Source organism: Homo sapiens, chromosome 8 (genome assembly GCF_000001405.40).
Source record: "Homo sapiens chromosome 8, GRCh38.p14 Primary Assembly".
NCBI classification, from domain to species: Eukaryota; Metazoa; Chordata; class Mammalia; order Primates; family Hominidae; genus Homo; species Homo sapiens.
In genome coordinates, this window is record NC_000008.11 from 116,280,337 (window position 1) to 116,305,665 (window position 25,329).

General features: G+C 39.3%; 2 long non-coding RNA genes across 2 annotated transcripts in view; one reads left to right on the plus strand and one right to left on the minus strand.

Moving 5' to 3' along the window:
• Positions 1-25,329, minus strand: part of LINC00536 (long intergenic non-protein coding RNA 536) — a 374,549-nt gene that overhangs the window by 329,826 nt on the left and 19,394 nt on the right. The gene's annotated exons all lie outside the window — the stretch shown is intronic.
• On the plus strand, positions 9,219-18,779 carry LOC124902005 (uncharacterized). Its single transcript, XR_007061064.1, has 2 exons — positions 9,219-9,646; positions 16,771-18,779. It is a non-coding gene; the product is annotated as an uncharacterized LOC124902005 (long non-coding RNA).

Here is a 25,329-nt window from a genome sequence, read left to right on the forward strand (position 1 = left end):
ATGCCCTGCTCAATGCCACTGACTGCATCACAGATTTTCCCTTTGAGTTCTTTCCTGTTCCCTTCCTGCCCTAATGCTGTGTCTCTGACAGTAGCTGCATCCATCCATGGCCACAGGTCCCAAATTGTGGCCTCTCTTTCGGTTCCGGTTCTCCCTGGGCTCTAATAACTCCATTTTACCATTGTTCTTTTAGCCCTAGAGTGACAATGGTTACCCACTGTTGCTATAGTCTTTTGCGTTAATTTTTCCTTAACCCTATCTGCATCTCTGCAAGCAGACTCATCATCAAATTCATAAGCCTGTGAAATAGAAAGCCACTAAGGAGAAAGAGCTAGATGAACCATCTGGAGTAAATTCTGTGACCCGCCAGGACTCTGGCCCATATGACATTCATCTATCTCTCATTGCCTTCTATCATAATATAAGTCGGATTTACCCAAAGACTATGAATTTCCTAAGTAAGGAGACCACACTTGACTCATCTTTGCTATTTAGGTGCCTGGTCATAATAGATTTTCAATAAATGATTGAGAAGTCAATGAATCTTAATGTGCCTATTTAATGCACTCCACAAAGATCTGGTAATTACCAGTTCCTGAATAGGAGATTTTCACATAAACTTTCTGTTCTTAGATGTCACTCTGATTAGGATTATTAAAGGAACACAGTCCTGACAACAGTGAACAAAGTGGGGGAAATAGATGATTCTGAGAAGAGAGCACTTTGAACCAGAGATGTGTGAACCCAGAAGCATTTTGAGATTGGCATCATGTCTTGAACTAGTTTTCAAAGGAATCAGACTTGGCCAAACCCAAAGAGAACTTTGCCAAGCAGTTTTCCCCTTAATTTTTAAACCCATGTGTATTTTAAGGGAAATTCAATCCATATGTTTCTGATTCATTTACACTTAACTCATCAAAATGTTGTTTTGTAAGAGTTATTTGATGTCCCAGTCTTTTGAGCTTTTGTGCAGAAATGCCTTCCCCCTCTTATAAATAAAAACCTTTTGGCAAGTCATACACAAAAATTGATCCCTGAAAGGTTCGAAGTCATTTCAAACCTCAAGGCCCACAAGGTTCCAGTGATTCCTTACTGGATCTGATAGGACTCCTCTCTCTGTAGAAATCTGAGGGCTTTTGCTGAAGAGACACAAGGTTGCACAAGGATGGAAGTCTGACCCAGCAAAAAGACAAAGAGAATTTTAAAGTCCAAAGTGGGAGAACAGGCATGTAAAGTGGTAAAGAGATGAGAAGAAGCTACAAATAAAACACCAAAAACAGAGAGACAAAGAGAATAAATGAAACAATTTTCTGTGTACAGAAGTTCAAAGACAAGGCAGGGAGAGAGGGAAATATGAGCAAATATATGTCATGGAACACATATATCAGAGCTCTCAGAATCCTGTTTTAGAAAACCAAATGCCTTGGCCATTTGGGAAGCAATTATGAGAATGTGTTATTAATTACTTAGTTGTGCCTGTTTACTTGAGCAACAATAGTTCTTGCTATGGATCCTGCCAGCTTGCCTGCTTTACTTCTATCACCAGTACTAATATTATTTCAATAGGCCCTTCATTTTTCTTTATTCATATCCATAGCTTCGGGTCAGAGTTAGCTCAAGCGGTTACCTCCTCATGCCGGACTTTCTATCTGTTCATATCCATAGCTGAACTTATACATATGCAGTTCTCATACCACTATCCTTCAAAGCATCAAAGAGAAGTGGATATTTACAAACACAGACGACCAGAAATTGGGCCAGGTCATTGATGCTATTCATTAATATCTCCTAACAATCCATGATGCTGTTGCCCAGGAAACAAAGCCAAGTCTGTATCTTAGATCTCAAGTTCTTCTTTTGTAAAATGCCTTACCTAAGATGTCATAAAAGTAATAAAACTCAAGAAAACATAAAGCACTCTGCAAAGACAAGGAGGAACAAGAGTATTTCAATTGAGGGTTTAAATGTGAATAACAATGAGTGTGGGCCTTAACAAAATGCCTAGAGAAAACTTGAGTATAATTTCCTGGGTTGATGTTCTCAAAGGAAAGAAGCTCCAAAGGGGATAAATGAGAGACTATTAAAAAAACCAAAATTCTGGCAACATAATCACTTATGTTTTCAAGTGGAAGTGAAGGTGGAGACATCTAAAGAAGAGTGTTTTTTCTAGTTTTTTTTAAATGAGCTTAGAATTTTTTTTTAAAGGAGTCCACACAGGCCTGAAAGAGTGGCTTCAATGGAAAACAAAAAAGCAAGGCCCAAGCTTGCAAAAACATGTTTATGAAAATATGAAAGAGCTTTAGCAGCTATCTTGACAGAATGGGGAACAAGAAAAACACTCCTAATTGGGGATGCAAATCAGGTAATGTCTGATATCAGCTAGAAAACAGAATTATCTGCCCTATCAAACAGAATGACACTGTTGATTTGTTGTATTCCCCAACCGGAATATGAGTTCCTTCATGATGGGGTCTTCTTTTTTCCCCACTTCAGATGCAGAGTAACTAGTGCATCTAATTCAGGCTTAGTATATATTTGGAGAATAAAAAAACTGATGTCAAATGAAAGACTCTGCCATGTGACTATCTCCATCTCTGCTAATTCTCTCCACGTATATGTAACCTTCATCCTGCAACCTGAAGGCCATTCTATCTCCCTCTATAGCAAATAAGGCCAAGTCTACACATCTGTTCGCTCACTGTCATCCTAAGGGGCATTAATCACACACCTTATCTAGTTCACTGCACCTTCTTTCCTTCCAGCTCCATTTCACAGAAGTGGGTGTACCGCTGGTAGAATCTTCCTAGCCTTGTCTCCACCTATTACTCCTACACCTACCCCTCCCTAAAATACTTTCTTACTTCCCATCTTTGGTTTTGTGCCAATTTAAAATTGAACCAGCATTATCCAACCCTCTCTGAGATGTTCCTTACAATCATCTACTCCTCCCTGATGTCACCTCTTCCTGAGAATGCCTCAGTTTCTGCTTCCTGCTTATTACCAGACACTCTTGCCCCAGTTATCCAGCATGCTGTCTACACGCTTTCCTGCCTCAAGACAGCCAATGCTGGAAGATGCTATGAGGCAATGCCCTACAGCAGCAGTAGTCACACAGCTGCTGTCTAAGGGAGAGGCACCTCCAAACATTGAGAAATTACACCCAGGGCCATTAGGGAAAGGAACAGGCAATCTGCAAAAGGTCAGGCCAAGCTAACTTCATTTCCTTTTCTAATTAGTGGATGGATAGCAGGGCATTTGAAATTGTAAAATCAGAATCAGCGGAGACTTTATAGAAGTGATGCTCAACACTTGGTTGGGGGTGAACTCCACTGAGAATCTGATGGACGCTAGGAACACTATTCACACAAGTTTATCGTACAATTTCAGAAGAAGTCATTCACTACATATTAAGAACATTGTTTTAGCAGCTGACTAACCTATCTACTATCAATGATTTTAAAAACTCATGCTAATGTCAATGACATCTAAATTGTATTCAAATACTATGATCCTATCATTCTAATAAAATAGTGACAATGAAAAGAAATGCATTTTTAATGTTTGCCACATGCCAGGTTCTATCCTAAGTACTTTACCTACCTTGCTTTATTTAATTCTCACAACAAAACTATCAGTTTGGCATTATTATAATCTACAAATAAAATCGTAATACAGATGAGGAAATTGAGGCTTAGAAAAGCTAAGTCATGTGCCCATGGTCACACAGCATGTGGGTGAATTAAGATCCAAACATGCATCTGTCAGTCTCTGTGTCAGGATAGGTGAGGTTATGACTCCCCAAAGCCCATTGGCTTAAAATCATAGAGGTACATTTCCCCTTACACCAGAGGTCCATCCCACCTCAGCAGGGGTTCTCTGCTTTTCTTGGTTACTCAGAGTCTCAGCTGACAGAGCAGCCACCATTTCCAATGTTGTCAATCTCTTTATATGAAAGAAAATGAATCTCTGAGTGTCTCTTATAAAATTTCTTTTTAATATTACTATTTTATTAGAATCATAGGATCCTAGTATTTGGATGCAATTTAGATGCCATCAACATTAACATGCTTTATTTTCTTTCTTTCTTTTTTTTTTTTTTTTTCAGACGGAGTCTCGCTCTGTCGCCCAGGGCCCAGGCTGGAGTGCAGTGGCACGATCTCAGCTCACTGCAAGCTCCGCCTCCCGAGTTCACGCCATTCTCCTGCCTCAGCCTCCCAAGTAGCTGGGACTATAGGCGCCCGCCACCGCGGCCGGCTAATTTTTTGTATTTTTAGTAGAGACGGAGTTTTAACGTGGTCTCGATCTCCTGACCTCGTGATCCGCCCGCCTCAGCCTCCCAAAGGCTTTATTTTCTTTTATCATTGATAGAATGATAGAAGATATAAGTTAGGTTAGTCGCTGCTAAAACAATGCATTAAAATTCTGTGGCCCAGAGTAACTTCTCCTCACATCTCTTTGGACAAAACAAATCATGTGGGCAAATGGAAAGGGAACAGGAATTGCAATCTTACTCTATGTCCAGGATATGGAATCCTGAAAATATTTGGCAGGCGTCAAAATGTCTACTGCACTCCCAAAGCCCATGCTATTAACAACAATTTCTATATACCCTCAACCTAAGAAATGAAATGTTATGTAGCTATGTTTTTCCATAGCCATGACATCATACAGGGAATAATCCACATCAAATGTCATTCCTCACTGTCTGCTTCTGTGTACCTAAAGTTTTATAGTATGACCTATTTGGAATGTTGAAAATGCGCTAAATTCCAAATACCTGCCCATGATCTGTCTCTAAAATGCAATATATCATAATATAAGGTTTAATTATAGAAGCAGTTTTAGCAGTAACCAAATTTAAATCCTATTTTTTTCTGATCTTTGCCCTTGCTTTCTGAAAAAAAAAAATTCCTTTAAACAAGCAATTTGCTGTGCTACCACAACTCATTAAAACAATGCTGCTTATTTGCCCTTTTATCTCCAAAATTATTCTATTCTGGAAACTTAAAGTTACAGAAATAGCTTCCTTTTGATTTTTATTTCCTCCAATGTCTGTGGATGGTGCTTTATAGTTTGCAGAATACAGGAACTTTTCACATCAATGACTTCATTTGATCAGCCTTTCATATAGGCATTATTTTCATTATAGTTCTCCAAATAAATAGATGGTTAAATTAAAAAAAAGAAAAAGAAAAAAATGTAGCCTAAGGCCATACAGCTAAAAAGCGGGTGATGCTGAGATTCCACCCATCATCTCTTCTGATTCCAGCCTATGCTTCTTCCTGTCGTACCTCCCAAATCTTTGTGCCAATTCTCTTTAACTGCTGGTAAAAATCAGTCATGGCCTGTCCTCTTTTTTGTGCGAGAATATCTAGGACAAAGAGTTCCATATCCCAAAATGATGCTGACCTCTGAGGCTCCCACAGAAAAAGGGTCACAAAGTTTCAAGGGAAAAAGTATGTATTCTCTTAAGCAAAGGCAAACTTAGCATCTATAAGAAGTTCCCTAGTCAGAAAAGTTTTTATTAGCAGGCAATAAATAAATAAATAAATAAGCTCCTGAATGGAGAATATTTTAAAGATAGAAAAACTAACCTGTAGTAAGCACTGGCTATAAGTCCAGCCCTTAATATTGTTTGGGTTAATAACGGCTGAGGTTTATTGAGCGTTGGCTGAAAAAGTTCCAGGGTTAAAGCATTACATGCACTGGTACATTTTATCCTTGCAAAATCCCCACAATTGAGATATAGTCATCATTCCTTTTTTTGCACACGAGGAGACTAAGCATTAGAGACAGATGCCAACATCACACACAGCCGACAAATGGCTGAACTAAGATTTGAATGCAGAGGGTCAAACACAGAGCCTGTCTCCCTGTGACTTAACGACGACAGCAAGCCTAGTACACAGAGATCATTATTCTCACTTTACAGAAGTGGGAACAATAGCACAGAGAGGTTAAGGAATGCTTTCAAAGCTGCACAGCCAGCAGGTGATGAAGTGAGAATGAACTCAGATTTGCCCCCATATCAAAGGCCAGTTATACCTGGTGCTGGTGAAGCTGAGTCTTTGTCCAAAGAACTCTGCCTCTTTTAACTTAGGGGCCATCTCAGCAAAGGGAACATCACAGAGATCAATCACCAGGGATGGAATGACAATGCCAGACCCACATTTGTACTCTGGCTCCCAGTCTACTGATCCAGGCATGCTGTTAATCTCTGGGGCTTATAGAAGAGGAAATTCTGTTTGTTCCTAGAGGCCTTTGAGGCATCTTCCATTCAGAACTTGCACCACACTGTTCCTCTGACTGAGATTGGCTCCAAGTGTCTGCTACTGGGGCATCATTCCATTTCTTCAGGCTTGTTTGAGGCATTAATACTCAGACACTTCCCCAGCCATCCTCAGCCACCTCCCTTCACCAGGGTCACCATAGAGACATGCTTCCATTAGTAAGGACAATGCACATCCCCCATTTCTAGGATTAAGCATGTCACTTTTCAAGGAATGTTATGCTGTGGTCATCACACTTTGTGCCTCTCCTTTCACAGCAGATGAAGTGAATGAAGATGGTCACAGCCCTGGCACATTTACAGTGATCACCTTTCTTAATATCTGAGGAGAATTGAACAGGAATGTTGAAACATGTTTCTGATTTAAAAATATTACCTTGTACCAGTTAGAATGGCTATTATTAAAAAGTAAAAAAAAAAAAAAACACAGATGTTGGTGAGGCTATGGAGAAAAGGGGACACTTATACACTACTGGTTGGAATGTAAATTACTGAAACCTTGATGGCAAACAGTGTGGAGGCTTCCAAAGAACTAAAAATAGGACTATAATCCAGCAAACCCACTACTGGGAATCTACTTGAAGGTAAGGAAATCATTTGATCTAAAAAGATACCTGCACTCATATGTTTATCGCAGCACTATTCACAATAGCAAAGCCATGGAATCAGCATAAGTGTGCATCAATGGATGATTGGATTTAATGTGGGTATATATGTATAGATCTAGATATGTATACACATACACATACATCTGTATAGATCTATATATCTAGATGTGTGTGTGTGTGTGTGTGTGTGTATATACACACACACACACACACACACACACATGCACCATGGAATTCTACTCAGTCATAAAAAAGAATGAAATCATATCTCTTACAGCAACATGGATGGAACTGGAGGCCATTATCCTAAGTGAAATGACTTAGCAACAAAAAGTCAAAAACTGCATGTTATAAGTGGTAAACAATGGGTACATATGGAAATACAGAGTAAAATAATAAATACAGGAGACTCCACAAAGTGGCAGAGTGGAAGGGGGGTACCTACTGGGTATAATGTACACTGTTTAGGTGATGGATACACTAAAAGCCCACACTTCACCACTATGCAATATATCCATGTAACACGACTGCACATGTGCACCTAAGTCTATAAATTAAAATTTTAAAAATTAAAAAAGTCTATAAATTAAAATTTTAAAAATCTACTATGTTCTGTTGCTGCTCAAATATCCTTCTTGCTTATAGACATAATCAGGAAGATCATGATTTTATTAATAACATGCTATTGGAGAAATATAGCAAGTAATTGTGTCTCGTCAGGCCAAAGTGACAGAAAGTAGTGCAGCACTTCCTCATGGCCCACAGAATTGGGCAACTAGGAGTAGTGAACCAATGACTCTGCTGTTTAATTTATGTATTTGAGTAAAGCAAGGAATCAAGAAAGTCGGAGATCAAGTTTTGATGAAGAAAGCATAAGCATGGTGGCTCACGCCTGTAATCCCAGCACTTTGGGAGGCCAAGGCGGGCAGATCACGAGGTCAGGAGATCAAGACCATCCTGGCTAACACAGTGAAACCCTGTCTCTACTAAAAATACAAAAAATTAGCCGGGAGTGGTGGCACTTGCCTGTAGTCCCAGCTACTCAGGAGGCTGAGGCAGGAGAATCACTTGAACCCGGGAGGTGGAGGTTGCAGTGATGCCACTGCACTCCAGTCTGGGCAATAGAGCAAGACTCCATCAAGAAAAAAAAAAGAAAGAGGTATTGCAGGACAAAGTGAGTGAAGAACATGAAGAACACAGAGTAGCCATGTGGTACAGTGAATGGGAATGTTCCTACTAGACAGGAACTCAGAGAGGGTGGGGGCTGTGCTAGAAATGTCCTGAAGCTTCTAACCAAACAATGAACTCAAAATCCCCCACTCCACTTTCCCATTATCAACATAAAAAGGCAACTTTCATTGTATTCACCATCCACACATCTCCTGATTCCTTCAAACTCATTCCTAGTGTTCATTATAATCTCATTCCTTATAGGTAAAAGTAAAATAAAAATAAATGAAAATAATAAAACCATGTGAAGAATAACCCAGGTTACAGAACAGAGACAAAATAACCCTGATATGACAAAGTGCCTTGCCACCAATACCCAGCCAGGCACTGTCCCATGCAGAACTGGGCTGAGGACGGTTCAGAAGGCCCGTCAGAACCTCTCTGGACCATGTGACAACTACAGAAATCATCCATGTAGACCTGACCCTCAGGTTTAAATGGGATAGTACGTATGCCACAGGCGACTTTTAGAGACTTTTATTCTACCTCACATATGCAAAAATATAGCATCTAGCTTTGCTGAGTATGAAAATCTAAATTCAGAATCACTTCAAAATTGCCTCTGATTGCAGGGAGAATGCCTGAAAGAACAAAAAAATAAAGAAAGCTGGAGACATTGAAGAAGTTTTTTGTCTTTTTTTTTTAAAAAAGGTAGAACTTTTCCATCCTGACAAAATGCATCAACTAATTTCCATTTGTTTTCTCTAGAAGTCAAGTGCATAGCAGCTCAATGAGACATCTGAATCTGCAAAAGAGAAGTGAATATTCATGAAGTTTATTTTCCCAAAAGGTCTGTGTTTTAAATGTACACTGCAAGCAATCAAACTGAATCATTTAAAAATTAGGTTTGTAAATGTGGGTTCCCTTCCAAGGGTTTATTCTAGTAGGAATTTGTACTTCTGAGATGCTGGGGAAAGCCCTGGCAAATAGAGACTGCTAGAAAAAGCAAAGATAGTATCTGCTGTTCCATAAACAAGCAGTTACTGGACGGCAGGTAATTTCGGCTGTGTAATGCAGGCAAGCGCTTAGCCTGTGCTACTAACCCCTTGCTAGGTCCCATCTAAACTGTTTCACGCCTGAAAATTGCTATGGGGTTAAATTGTCCATCAGCAGGAAGAGAAAAAGGGAAGCTTCATGTTCATGATGAGGAACATGTTCAGAGAAGCGTCAAGCTTGAATGGAAAGAGAGGGAGGAGAAATGTCTGTAAAGAGATTATGGAGCTAAGTAAGGTAAGAACAGCTTTAAAACAGCAGGCACGGAAGTGAATGGATAGAATGGAAGAGTCCACTCACTAGACCTAGAGAGACCTAGACTAGATTCGCAGAGATTAAAATCACCCCAGCTGGTACACACAAGTTTTCTAGAATTCTAGGAGTCCACAGAATAGCATTAATCACCATGGGAGTCTGGCATCACTGCTGTGTGGAGCTGCCTTCATGAAGCCGGCAGAGCAAAGATCCAGGAGCAGAAGCCCAAAAAGCATTGAAGGAGAGAAGCAGCAGGATGGGGCTTCCAGAGGTAGGAGAGGGCAATGCCAGGAAAAGATGAGTCTGTTTATTTCCCCCAGTGGGCTCTCATCACAGCTGTGGAGTGGGGGGAGATCCAGGGTGGCTTAAACAAAACCGTGAAGATTCACATCTTTGGCACTTTTTAATCTTCTTATCAGCAAGCTGGGCTCTCACTGATATCCTGTGTCTGCCAATGCTTAAGTTGCAAGGAAGTTTGGAGACAGACAGTCCCAGACTCTGCAGCTTTCTAGCTGAGTAACTTTGAACATGATATTCAAATTTTCACTTTCTCTTCTGAATAATAGGAGTAATAACTGTGCTTTACATTTCAAAGGGTTAACAAGAATTAATAATATAGGTGAGAGACTTAGCACAGAACCTGGCACAAACTAAATACTCGATATTCATTGCTACCATTGTCAAGACTTACTAAAACGTAGACAGACGAAGTCCTACAAAAAAAGCTCTCTCCCAGAGTTGACAGGAAATGCTGTATTTAGGTTGGTATTCAGAGACAGGGAAACTTCGCTGGTGTCCTCTCAAAGCTTCACACAAACATGAGTTCAACAAAAGAATGAGCATTTATTGTGTGTGTTTGGGTAAGGTACTGTGCTAGGCACCAGTGACAAAAAGATAATAAAATACAGTCCGTTCTCGTAAAATATCTTAAACAGAAAACAAAAATTAATGAAATATAATATATATTTTACATATGTGAGTGTGTGTTAAATTTCAACCCGAAAAAGAACTACGAATGTATTTGGAAAATTGAGCATTAAAATTTAATACAGCAGGCTCTTTTTTGACCCATCTATTTATTTTTGAAGTAATTTCTTAAATTAGCTCAATACATTCCATTGCCTTTTTCCTGGTTTTAGATTAGATAGAAAAAAATTATATCTCCTTAAATGTCTGGTTAAAATGATGGTTTCCTTCCTTTAAAGATAAGTAGTAATATGTTGGATTCACTTTTTGTTGACTTGGGATACAAGCATGGATTCCACATGGGAGTCTCTGACTTTGATTCTTGTGAAATAAGCACAGGAGACTGCAAGATGGGGAAAATGAATTCTAAAGAATAAGATGTTTTGTGACCAAGGCTGAAAGACAGATTTAATGCAGAATTAATTTTCAGAAGGTATTCATGAGCATTTGAAATATGTTGTGTTGTTAACTGTATGATATTACCCTAACCTGTAGCCTGAATGTCTTCCTTCACGCCATCCTGTGGCTTTTGTCATTACCTTAATCAAATGTGTAGGGCTTGTGACCATGGTGCCAAAGTGTCTTTGTAGAAAAGTCATCATTGTTGAGGGTTAAGAGTTTAACCATGTCACTTGAACTCTTACCCAAAAGCTAGGGCCGAACCAGACATGTAATGTCAAGATGAAACAGGAAAGAATTAAGAGAATGTACTGAGGCTTTCAGCATTATATTTAACATTGTCAAAATCTTTTTGATATCTCAAAGAGGCCACCAAAATTATTCAGGGCTAAGCTTTTTACTTGGGGAGATAACAAACCTCTTTTGGCCTTCTTCTTTTCGTTCATTGGATTTGAAAACTTTGATGTGATACAAAAAAGAATAGGTAGTAAAGATTCATATTAAATCAGCCAATTCCACATTTTCTCTACTTATAAAAAAAATGTATGGGGAAGAAAATTGTCTGAAATGCCTCAAAAATTTTCTGTGGATTATGATTACTAATAATGTCATTTTCCCATTATCACACACGGATAGATTGATTTTCTTTAAAAAAATGATAATTACTAAAAGTTAAGATTATTAAAATTTGTCTTTTAAGATTATTTTTTGAAGTTTAGGATGAAGGTATAAATATGGTATTTTCATCAAAAATATTTATATCTCACACTTAACTTACCAGTTCTTCATTACAAACACTAGCTCCTCAAAGCCTTGAGTAGTGAAATTCAACGTTCCAATTTACTTGTATAGAAACAAATATGGAAGAATTAAGATTCCATATTTAAAAATTTGTTTTATTATTTTTCAGCATCTTCTAGGAGAGACCAATGTGCTGACAAATGGAGATTTTTGGAAATCTACTTTAAAGAATATGTAATATTTGCTTAAATAAACATAGTTACTAATAAGTAACTGAATAGTAACCACCAAAATATGAACCCTTTTAAGACAGAAAAACTCATTCATCCAAGTGGAGCTGTTCTTCAAAACAAACAGCTCAGAAATAAATATGCTTATCAATAACAACATATTTGTGTTTATATTTAATAAACCACTATCTCACATATTTTATTTAGTTCTTACTGTAACCTATGGCTTAGCTTGTTTTAATTTTCATTTTAGAAATGGAAAAAATGAAACTTTGAGCAAGTAAGCTGCTTAAAGTTTCACAGGTAATAGTTTCAGAGCTACAATTTAAGTGAGTTCCTATACTCCATGACCAGGGTTATTTCACCTTTGTCACAGCAAATTCCTTGTCAATCATAGTAATACTGTTTAAGCTCAAAGTATTAGTAGAATTTTGTTTTTGGAATCACCTTTGGAACTCATTTATGAATCATAGAGGAAAATCAGTTTCATTATTTTAGAGTTGCAATGTAGTTTTTGATCAGTTAAAGAAGTGTTAAAATGGATGACCACATCATCAGGTTATTCCCCCAAATCAAAGCCACTTTCAAATTATAAAGGTTTGCCATCCTGGAAAATGTTCAAATAAAGTCACTTGGTCTTAACAAAAAAATTCAAAATTGAAATTTCTGAACTGTTTTAATCAATGGCTGGATGGTTGAAATGAATATATAGTCTCATTCTGGGTACATTTGAATTGCTTAGAATCTTTTTTCTCTTCAATGAGAATAAATAACCCCCTGTAATTTTGCCTGCATTCTTCTTATTTTTAGTGTTATCTATGATACACTGAGGCAGGAATAGGCAGGAATTTTGTTCAGTCAAATTCTATAGTGGTATCACTTCCAAGAGGAAAAAAGTAAAATCAGTTAGGTGTAATAGATTGAGCTATTTCGCCTTAACAATACCTGAAACTTTTTTAACCAGACCTTTATAAAAGAGTGGGAGAGAGGAACTAAAAAGAGCTGAACTCAAATAACAGAACTGAATTTTTAGCTTAAATGTAAGCATCTATAGTAAACTTCAATTAATAAGCACCTTTAACTGCAATGTTGATCTGAATTTAATTCTATTCCATTTTACCATTAGGGAATTAATTTTATCCAAAGTATTTGCCTTTAATTCTTTTTCCTTTTTCATTGTCTGGAATTCATGCTAGATCAAGAGCTAAAATATTAAAGGCAAAGAATTTGGAGTCTTTGTGTCTGTAATTATTTAAAGCTGAATTTTCAGCATAGGAGAATTCACTACCAGATTTTCTGTAGTTCTAATTTACATTTTCTGATTCAATTTACAATTAGCAAGGCAAAATGAGCAGAGCATACTGTGACCCATCCCATTCAGTGTTTGGTAAACAGATTAATTCCAAGGCATCTAAGAATCAGCTAGGGATCATGTTTATAACGCCAACTTCTGCTCCTTCCCACTCCAACACCACCAAAAGAGACCCTACTGCAGTGGGTTTTGGGCTAGACCCAGGCAGAGAGTCCCCAAACCACCCTTTGAATGATATGAAATATAAACTTTTTCTGCTTTTACTGGGTTAGTAAACAAAGTTTAATGAACTCACCCTTGCTTTTGTTAAGATGATAACTTCATAGATGAATGCTATCCAAAAGTCCTTTCTCAAAAATTTCCTATAGTATCACATAGCTAACCATCATATCCCAATTGCCAATACTCGAGATTTTGCTGTACTTCATTTATTGCCTTTAGAACAAAAATATTTTAGAATGGTTTCTTTCTGATTATTAACAGATTTTGCATTAATTAAACATGTCAACTGAGAGGTTACTATGGTGTTTTCCTTTGGCAAGCATCTTGAAAAGTTTTGTCATTGTCTGTACTTTTTACCATAATGGTGGAAGAATTCAACAAATATTCTAAGTCTAAAGATATACAGTGCTTCAGGTCTCTTGTGTGGCTTGATAAGGCATGTAGATGAATACCTGGCTGACTAATGGAAATGTAAAGAAAACAGAGTTTTAGCCACAGGAAAGTTAGTGAATATGCCTTCACAAGTTTTAATAAAGATGTCATTCTCACATACTTTATTATTTCCCTTTTATAAAATGAAAGTAATTGGACAACTGGTTACTTGGAGCCCTCACTTCTGAAAATCATTTTTCTGGTGCTATGGGCTGCTGAGTGAGAATCTCTTTGGACCTGCTTCTCTCCTTTCTGTTCATTACTGGGGTTAATCAAAACCCAGACCTTTCTCCGACCTCAAACATATTACCATGATGGGCTGGGAAAATCGGTAAGTATATGTTTTCTTTGATTTTTCAGACTGCCTGTGTTTGGTAAAAGCAGGATGTAGAAGACAAAGAAATAATGAATTAGAGCTACCTGCAGGCCTTTCAGTCTTGTGCAAGCCCCAAGGAAAGAATTTCTCCAGTGGTAAAGACAAGAATGTATAGTTACTAAAGGTCAATTGCTTGTTCTGACAAGCTGCCCCTTTGGTGATGCTCTCTCTGCCCCACATTCTAGAGACCTGTCTGTTTTTCAGCAACTCGGCTATCCCTAAAAGGAAGCCTTCTTAGGATAAGAATGCTGGTTTCGTGTGGTCTTGCTGTGGGAGTTGCATTTTGGCTGTCTTCTTTTTGATTGCGCTAAAAGTGAAAATATTTGAAGGATCCACATAAAAAAGAATAAACTCCGAATCACATTGGGTAAACCCTGTTTTTCTAATCATTATAATTAAAAATCCAACACAGTACAATTTCATATTCTTGTCACCTTTACTATTTTCCTATGTAACACTTACTATTTAGAGCATCAGCCGAAGATCCAAAGGACATTTCCCTGAATATGATGCTTGAGCTTCCAGATAAGACAGAAAAAAGAAAACTCTATAGGGATTCTCTATACTTTCTGTTGAATTTTTTATAAACCTAAAACCGGTCTAAAAAATATAGTCTATTAATTTATTTAAATCTATTACTGAATTGACACAATATTTATGAATATGCTAAACTGCATCCTTAAATTTTATCTAATATGAATTACCTAATTTCATCTGGATAGGCATGTGCTCTTGAATTAAAATTTGCCAGAGGAAATTATTGCAAAAGCTTATAGCCATTTCGATAAAGTAGGTCTTCACTGGGTTTCTGAGTGCTATAGCAATGCATGAATGGAAAAAAGGGGGGAAGAACAGTTCTGATATTTCATTCACAAGTATGTGGAAGGGTATGAAATGAGATACTTAAATGTGAGAGCTCTATTAAACTGAGAAGGCTGTCAGAAAGCAGAGGCCAGACACATGATAAAATTGCTCTAAGACTTTTAGAAATTCTGACAAAAACTCATTCAATGAGTGGCGATCTGGAAAAGTTTGAAGTATCAATATAAAACACAGATAAATCTTATTTAGTAGCAGGAAGCTGGAAGACAGTTACCCTTGGAGATACTTGGAGGTATTAATTGATGAAAAGATACAGTATTCATTTGTTCATTCACCTGCCAAATACTTACTAAGTGCCTGTTTTAAAAGTGTGGTTCCCAAACTTTGCTGCGCATTAGAATCATCTAGGGAGTTTTTAAAAAATTCTGATACCCAAGTCACAACCCATATTCATTAACTCAGAATGCCTGGGGAGGGGAGCCAGGCATCAGTAAGTTGTTAAAGAGTAGCAGGTGATTCCAATATGCAGCCAAGGTTTAAGGCATTTATCCATCCAAAAAAAGTAAATTGTGCGTGATTGCTTCTCTTAAGGAACTTGAAATCTAGGAGAGACAATTAGTCATGTACAAAAGCAAATACAAAGTAGAATACAACACGTGCTTTATTTTTATTTGTTATTTATTTATTTATTTATTTATTTATTTGAGATGGAGTCTCACTCTGTTGCTCAGACTGGAGTGCAGTGGTGTGATCTCAGCTCACTGCAACCCCCACCTCCCAGGATCAAGCAATTCTCCTGCCTCAGCCTCCAGAATAGCTGGGATTAAAGGCACGTGCCACCACGCCTGGCTAATTTTTTGTATTTTTAGTAGAGACAGGGTTTCACCGTGTTAGCCAGGATGGTCTCGATCCCCTGACCTCTCGATCTGCCTGCCTCGGTCTCCCAAAGTGCTGGGATTACAGGCATGAGCCACTATGCCCAGCCAACATGTGCTTTAAATGCACTATCTCATTGTGAAGTTGGCTTGGTGAAGTATCATTTCTCAAACCAAGCAGCTCTGGGGTTCCAAGGACCTCTACAGAGAATACATTTGTAGTGATACAGTCATTTATAGGAGCCTTATTTCCAGAAAGAGGCAGCAAACTGGAAAGGGCTCAAAGAAAAGTAACAAAATGATTACAGGCCTGGGGGAATGGACTTATGGGGAGAGATGAAAAGACGAAATATGTATAACCTAAGTGACAATTAAAGATGGAGGGGTCATGATAACAGTCTACAAATACCTAAAGGGCGCGAACATGAAGGAAAGAAGTGAATTACTTTGGATAAGGAAAAACAAAGGGTGTTGGTTAAGAGTACTAGGACTGTATTATGAAAAAGAAAATGAAGGCACAGCGTCAGGCAATCCTTGCTGACCACTGGAGCTGGCTTCTAAAGGAGAAGGAGCAGCCACATTACTTGAGTTCCCATAAAACAAGTTTGGACAAACACTTAGGAAATAGATGATTAAGAGAAATTTTGTGTAACCTGGAAAATGGCAGGAGGTAGGAGGAGAGAAAACAACTGAAATCTTTTTCAACCCTAATACCAAAATTATGCTATAAAAAGTTCAAAGAACAGAAATTGAGAGGAGCCATTATCTTTAAATGTGATTGCAAATGAGGTTGATCCATTAGCTCTTATTAATGTGTTCATTATAGTTGCAGCAAAACACCATGGCACACATTTACCTATGTAACAAACCTGCACGTCCGGCACATGTATCCCAGAACTTAAAATAAGCCTCCCTCTCCCTCTCCCTCTCCCTCTCCCCTGTCTCCCTCTTTGCACGGTCTCCCTCTGATGCTCCCTCTCCCCTGTCTCCCTCTTTGCATGGTCTCCCTCTGATGCCAAGCCGAGGCTGGACTGTACTGCTGCCATCTCGACTCACTGCAACCTCCCTGCCTGATTCTCCTGCCTCAGCCTGCCAAGTACCTGGGATTGCAGGCGCGCGCCGCCACTCCTGACTGGTTTTCGTATTTTTTGGTGGAGACGGGGTTTCGCCCTGTTGGCCGGGCTGGTCTCCAGCTCCTGACCGCGAGTGATCTGCCAGCCTCGGCCTCCCGAGGTGCCAGGATTGCAGACGGAGTCTCGCTCACTCAGTGCTCAGTGTTGCCCAGGCTGGAGTGCAGTGGCGTGATCTCGGCTCCCTACAACCTCCACCTCCCAGCCACCTGCCTTGGCCTCCCAAAGTGCCGAGATTGCAGCCTCTGCCTGGCCGCCACCCCATCTAGGAAGTGAGGAGCATCTCTGCCTGGCCGCCCATCGTTTGGGATGTGAGGAGCCCCTCTGCCCGGCCGCCCAGTCTGGGAAGTGAGGAGCGCCTCTTCCCGGCCACCATCCCGTCTTGGAAGTGAGGAGTGTCTCTGCCCGGCCGCCCATCGTCTGGGATGTGGGGAGCGCCTCTGCCCCGCCAACCCGTCTGAGATGTGAAGAGCGCCTCTGCCCGGCTGCGACCCCGTCTGGGAACTGAGGAGTGTCTCTGCCCCGCCGCCACCCCGTCTGGGAGGTGAGGAGCGTCTCTGACCGGCCGCCCCTTCTGAGAAGTGAGGAGCCCCTCCGCCCAGCAGCCGCCCCGTCTGGGAAGTGAGGAGCCCCTCTGCCTGGCCGCCACCCCGTCTGGGGGGTGTACCCAGCAGCTCATTGAGAACGGGCCATGATGACGATGGTGGTTTTGTCGAATAGAACAGGGGGAAATGTGGGGAAGGGAAGGAGAGATCAGATTGTTACTGTGTCTGTGTAGAAAGAAGTAGACATAGGAGACTCCATTTTGTTCTGTACTAAGAAAAGTTCTTCTGCCTTGGGATGCTGTTAATCTATAACCTTACCCCCAACCCCGTGCTCTCTGAAACATGTGCTGTGTCCACTAAGGGTTAAATGGATTAAGGGCGGTGCAAGATGTGCTTTGTTAAACAGAGGCTTGAAGGCAGCATACTCCTTAAGAGTCATCACCACTCCCTGATCTCAAGTACCCAGGGACACAAACACTGCAGAAGGCGGCATGGCCCTCTGCCTAGGAAAACCAGAGACCTTTGTTCACATGTTTATCTGCTGACCTTCCCTCCACTATTGTCCTATGACCCTGCCAAATCCCCCTCTCCGAGAAACACCCAAGAATGATCAATAAATACTAAAAAAATTAAAATAAAATAAAATAAAATAAGCCTTGACCTCCCAGGCTCAGGTGATCCTCCCATGTCAGCCTCTCCGGTAGCTGGCACTACAGGTGCACACCACCACACCCAGCTAATTTTTGTATTTTCTTGTAGAGAAGGGCTCCCACCATGATTCCCAGGCTGGTCCCGAACCCCTGGGAAGGAGGGCTAAAGCTATCCACCCTCCTCTTCCTCCCAAAGTGTTGTGATTACAGTTGTAAGCTACTGTGCCTGGCCAAGAAAACAATTTTTAAAGAGGCTAGGTAATTCAAAGTCACACAGTTAATAATGGTGCAGTGAGAAATGAAAATGCTCACTCTGTGGCTTCAGAGCTTACACTCTCCTACTTTTATGGAGTACACTAAATTAGGAACCAGATAAAACTTGTCATCTTACAAATCCTCCTCATAAACCTTATCTGTAATATCAGGAGAAGAATACCTACTTTGTATAGTTATTGTGATGAATAAGTGATTTTTAAAAATATTTAGCACAGCCTGGTACACAGTGTATTTTCAAGATATGATAGTTTAAAAAAAAAAAAAAAAACCTAAAACCCACAAAACAGACATTTCAACATGAGTTTTTCTTCATACCTTCATACGTTTTGTATAAATCTGGCCATCTTTCATTCTTCTTCCTCCCACTCTCTGGGATTATATTGTTTTTATGCAATCGGGATAAACTAATAAACTAATTTTCATTATGATTTTATGTCTTCTTAAGAGATGTGCCTTGAACTTTGAAAGAATTGTGAGAGAAAAAGAGCGCCTGTGCAAACAATTTATTTTTCCAGGAAACATTAATCAAACCTCCATTCTAGGCAAGGGGCTCTACTAGGCAATGGGACTATAATAATAAAAAGGCAGATGAGGGTCAGCCCTCCTGGAGCTTACATTCAGGCAGAGAAGACACAATAAACAACAAACCAACAATGAATAAACAGACATCCATATAAACATTATAAAAGAAAGAAACTTGATGTTATACATGACAGAGGGGTGTGGTTACAGAGGATGATCAGAGAAGTCCTCTTTAAAGAGATGATTGTTAAGCAGATACCTATAAGACAAGGAGACACACAAAGAAAGTCTAGGAGGAAACTTTCACAGAGCGACCAGCAATTGCCAACTTCCTTAGGAAAGAGGTTAGAATGTTCTAGAACCTCAAAAAAGCTATGATGCATAATGAGTGAGGGTGAAGGTGGCATGAAATGAGGTTAGAAAGCTAGGCAGCTGTCATATCCTGCAGGAATCCTAGCTCATGATAGGAAGGAGGGTTTCATTATGCCCATGTTGGAAATGTTACAACCCTAAAGAGTTTGAAGTAAGGAAGTGACATGCTGTACTTAATATTATTAAAGGTTTACTCTAGCATGTAACTGCATAATAAATTATGTCCTGTGCTACAGGACAGTGATGAGGGGGAATTAAGAAGAATGGAAGAATAGGATAGTGTTTACACTTCTATAGCATTTATATTCATTTGTTGATTTTTTTAGATTGTTTAATGATTGTTAGTTGTCATTGTGTCTTCTCCACACTGAGAAGACTGGAAGTCTAAATATGAGATAAGAAGTGTTGAATTAGACTAGCATGGTGGCAATGGCTATGAGGAACAGTGTATAAATACAAGATATATTCTGGAGGTAGAATTGAAAGGCAGATTACTTTTTATTTTATTTTATTTTAAGTTCCAGGATACAAGGGCAGGACGTGCAGGTGTGTTACATAGGTAAAACTGTGCCATGATGTTTTGCCACACCTATCGCTATCCTATCGCCCCATCACCTAGGTATTAAGCACCACATGCATTAGCTCTTTATCCTGATGCTCTCCTTCCATTTGCCCCCCGAGTGTGTGTTGTTCTCCTCCCTGTGTCCATGTGTTCTCGTTGTTCAGCTCCCACTTATAAGTGAGAATATTAGAGAAATGCAAATCAAAATCATATTGAGATACCATGTCATGCCAGTCAGAATGGCAGGTTAATTTTGAAATGCCCTAAAACATCTAAGGGACCATGCCAAGTAGACAGCTGGATAGATGAATCTGCATGAAAAGGAGGTCGGGGCAGCCAGATACTAGTGTGGGGGACTGTGTGTTAACTCTATTTTCTTACTTTCTGTATTCTTGATGCTCTGGATTCCAGAGCCTCACTGACAAGGGATAGACTGCCCCTCCTGGGGCTAGCTAATTCCTAGAGATACCAAATGACTCCCTGTGGAGCACACCTTTCACATGCAAACCAGCTAATCCAGAGCCCACACCTCCAACTATCTCCTTTTTCACGCTCTCAATATTCCCCTGCCATTATCAACCCAGGGCCAGATAGCAGACAACTACAGACCACTCCTAGAGTGCAGAGTCCACTGAAATTACTCAGTCTAATCCTAAACCTGCTCAGCTTGCTTACACTGCCTTGCACATTCCTTCCCATGAAAATCACAATAAAGGTTACGGCCCATTCTTTCTTCTTGCTTCTTCTGCCTTCTGACCAACCCTGGTGTGGCGCGTGTGGCCCTGTGTCGTATGGCATGCCCCTTCCTCTTGAGAACTTTGTGTAACAAACCACCTTCAATGGCAAACCTCTCATGACCTGTCGATAAAAACAACCCCGACCCAGCCCCATTCAAAAGCAGATCCATTTTAAAAACAGGTTGTCCGTGATCAAATCAGGATAATTACTCTATTAATATGTACAAATATTGTGTCAATTTAAAAAATAACAGATTGTCAGCATAACAATGGCATTGAAAGCCTTTAGAATGATGGGGATCACTTAAGGGAAGTGTGTAGATAGAGAAAAGGAGTCACGAGGGCCACCAGGGGAGTCCCCAAAACTAAAGATCTATGTTTTGGATTTCAGACTGTGTGTCAACTGAGTTGAAGAATTATTTTCAAGCTTTCTCAGCACCTCAAAAATCATGCCACATAAGCCACTGCCTACTCTACGTAAGTGTAAGGCTGATCCTGTTTCAAAATGAGTAATCTTCACTAAGCCCACAAGCATAGTTGAGTTATCTTCCCAGAGAAATAACATGAAGTTAAAAGCCATCCACGTGAGGATACACCCAGTAGGCAGAAACACATGAGATATAAAGCAACCATCCCAATGTGCTGATAAGAAAGAAAAAAAAAAAACACGTAGGTAAAACTCCTACACTGACAGACATCCAGGGTCTCTGCTGAGATGTCAGGCAACCAAATGCACACAGAGCCATATCCCCAGAGCACGTCTCAGACCTGTGCCATTCCAGCACAGCGTTCTCACAGGTCTACGGTGAAATGAGAAAACCAGGCAGTGCATTTTCAACAAAGCTAAAAGTATTTATTTAAAAGAATTCCTTTGAATCTGAGATTATGACTTTTCTGCCTTTTTTGGTATTTAGATACCCTTCCTTTCACGAAATAGTGGCAAAAGTAGAGACAGTTTGTTACTTTTATACTTGACAAAAGAACAAACAGGCAGTCCCATAGAGGCCCTTCACATTTTTTACTCTTTTCTTTTTACTGGACCATAATTTAAAAATTTGGAAACCACTAATCTAAAAGATGTTACATACCCAGATATTTGAAAAAAAAAATCCACTATTTATAACCAGATTTCTGCTTTCTGTTTCATCCGGACAAATGGAGTAACCCAGACATAGCTCGAATGAGATTTCTCAACGCCACCCATGATATGGAGTTTCCATTTTGACAGGTTGGCCGTGAGTTAGGAAACTATTATCCCAGTGATGGAGGGAATGCGTACACATCCAGAGCTAAAGTGTTATGTTTTCTCAGATACTGACAAGTAGGGACAAAGGTTCAATGGTGACTAATGAATAAACTGTTAAGGTGGAGTCAGGACTTAATTGTTTAAAAGCAGTCACTTGAGGCATGTAGCTGCATTCACTGTGAAACCAAATCAAGCTTCTGATGATGTGGCAAGGACAGATGTATGTATTTATTTATTTAAACAAAAAGGCTTAGCACTTCATCAAAGTCTACTCTCCGCTTAAACTTTGAACAGCTACTATAAGGGGATGTAGGATGAACAAGTTATCTTTGGGTTTTTTGGGTTTTTTTTTGTTTTTTTTTTTTGCTAATTCTGGGAGTAATTACAGCATCAAATTTCTGGGTATGTTCTTCAATAAGTAGGTCAGGCTCAAATGTTTGGATACAGTAATTTAGGAGGAGGAGCTTGTCCTGAGGAGGTTGCTAGAAGGGAGATGAGGGAGACAGAGCCAAAGGCATAATAAATGATAAATTATGCATTAATCAGGCCACTCCTTCATTTTCCTATTGTGGTTAAGAGATTACAATATTAATCTAGCACTACCCATTTAATGTAATGAAAAGCAGTGACAAAGAAAACTTCTACTGTTTTCTATGGAAGAAGCGATGCAAAGCTTGAGAAATTGGCTGCAAGATTACCTACTGTCATTTCCACATTCACCTAAAGTGATCACACTTGAACCAAGACCATCACAGGAAAAGGGAGGATGTTTATCACTGGGATCTAGAACTCTGGCTTCCCTAATTTCTTCATGGACCAGAATGGAGCCTGCAGGCAGCACTATGGCCAGTCTGCACATACTGCATTAAAAAAAGAAAAGTGACATGACTTTTTGTTCTTGTTGGGGCTTTCCTTCAACTGTAACTAAAAAAAAAAAAAAAAAATACTGATATCAGACCAAAGGGGAAAAAGCCATATATTTTGTTTCTGTAAATATAAACACAGTTGTAGGGGCACACAGACATGATGTTGACGTATGTATGGGTGTTTGTATACATTTTTAGAGATGGGCATCGGGTAAATTAAAAACATAATTTCATTAGAAATTCAGAACCAGATTTATTCTTTTCAGTTACAAGACATAAAAGCTTCAATATAAAATAAAGTTGTATTTCTGTATTGAATTGTCTTGAACTTTTGTACTGAACCAATATAAAAATTGAACTGTTCTTTGGTATTGAACCAGAAAAAGACCGAATGGCCTCTCAGCCTGAAAATGGAAGTTCACCATTCAATTCCTAAAATAACTTGCTTACTACCATAACATTTGAACAAGAAATATTTAATTTTTAATGCTATTTTAAAAATCCATGTTGCTTGATCTCATATGTTTTAAACAAAGTTATACCAGGAGAAGAAACTCAAGAAATAAAGTTTTGTCCAAAAAAATCTCACTTATGGATCCTACTTTAATTCTGAATCATCTCTCAATTCTTTTAATATTCCTCTTGCTTTCATGGACCCATCTCTTATGTAATTTCTAGTGCTGCACTGGGGAGGCCCAGAAAGAAAAAAGTCACAGTTGGTTTGTCTCACTTCCCAGAGACAAAATGACATGGAACTCTGGGTAGTGAGATGTGGGACTGCTGAAGGAAAGAAAAAGAAGTTGTTCCAGCCCTTATGTGAGGATGCCACATTTATTTAAGAGGGGGTGGAGAAAGAGTAATTAAAGGACAGAATTCAAATTACAACTGAAATCTGTATCAGGCACTATCCTAATGCAGAAGCCCAGCAAGCAGAATACCAGCAAATGAAACACTAACAAGGGTAGCTGCTATCTCTTCAGACAAACCACTGGCAGCTGGGAGCCCACAGGATTTATTATGATCAATTAAGGGTGTGGTGGCCTGGGATAACAGAAGCAGTAGTCCTTGCAACATGGATGTGGAATGGAACATTACGAAAAACACCCCGTTTTTAGAGCTCACATTTTCCCCCAGCAAAACCAGCTCATGCTCACATTTAAGCATGTGTCTGTTTATCCGAAAGCCTTCAATTCTTGCCTCTTGAAATGAAAAATAAAAATTTAAAACAAAAAGAGGATTAGGGGCTTGTTGGGTGATAAAGTATGAACTAATTAAGATAACATTTAGAAAATAAAAGCATTAATGAAATTTTAGTTCCCAAAGAGATAAAATGTTTCTATTCTCATTTAACGGATGATAAAAATAAGTTTTACAGAAGGAATCGAGAAATCTGAAAAGCATTAGAAAAGTGTCAGACATTGAAACAAATCACTCCGAGAATGCTCCTACTGTATAAAAATTAGACTCATCTCACCTCACTCCTCACCTTAAATCTGCCTGATATACTCTGAACAAGCTAGATCAGGTTATCTGAGAACCTCTTTAGAGTCCTGAAGGTTAATCCTGTTCTTGCCTCATTAGGAAACATATGACTCTCTTCTCCCATCTCTTTTAAAACTGAGGGTACCACCAACACCCCAACTGGAGCACGTACAGTTTCTGCTGACATTCCTAAGCCGGTCAGCCAAAGGACTCTGCTGTTTGTGAGCAGACACTCCTAGCACTGGGTGCTGGCTGGCTGACAAGTAGCAAGTAAGGAGCAATGAAGAGATTCCTTTATTCCCTGAAAAACTGGAAACCTACAGCAAAGTGGCCTGACTCCTGCAGAGAGATTGGCAAATGCACAAATAAAATTTTCCCAATTTTAAAAAAACCATGCACATGTGAAGAATAAACCTCTTATCATCTGAATAATAACAATACCCCAAGAACACTCAACACTATGCCAGACACCATGTGAAACACCTTGTAGGCCTCGTCTAAGGGAAACTTCAGAACCACCCTAATGAAAATGATGCTTTGCATGTGACAATAAGCAGAGGCATCTGAGCCTCACACACGTGGATTCAAATCCTAGTTACCCAGTTCCAAGTTGTATAACTTTAGAAGACTGACTGTGTTTCTCAGTTTTAACTTATTCACCCTTCAGAAATGGGCTCTAGCCCTTCAAATAAGACAATCCTATAAGCATTTATTCTACCTCCAAAATCCACCCTAGATGTGTCCAGTTTCTCCATCTGTACAGCCTCAACCCAAGTTTAAGGGGCAGATCTAGGTTTTGTGAGGCCTGAGGGTTGTGCAGTTTGGGAGGCCACATTTAAAGAAAGGGCTGAGAATACAAAAGCTAAGAATACATTTAAGAATACATCTAAGAATACAGAAAGGGCTAAGAATACAAAGCTAAGAATACAAAATTAGGTTAAAAAATACTATGTACTTACAGTGAGAAGAGAAATTACAGGCTTGAAAACAAATTTTTAAAGCTATTTTGAAATACTGCAAACTTTACAAAAATTCAGAAAAATAATATACCATTTTTATTAATTGACATGTTGACACACCTCCATAATTTTTCCTGAATGCTTTGGCTGCATATTCTTTGATCACCTCTTCATATGACAAAAATTTTGTAAAATACCTTTTGATAAAGACAATGGATAACACAATCTTTCT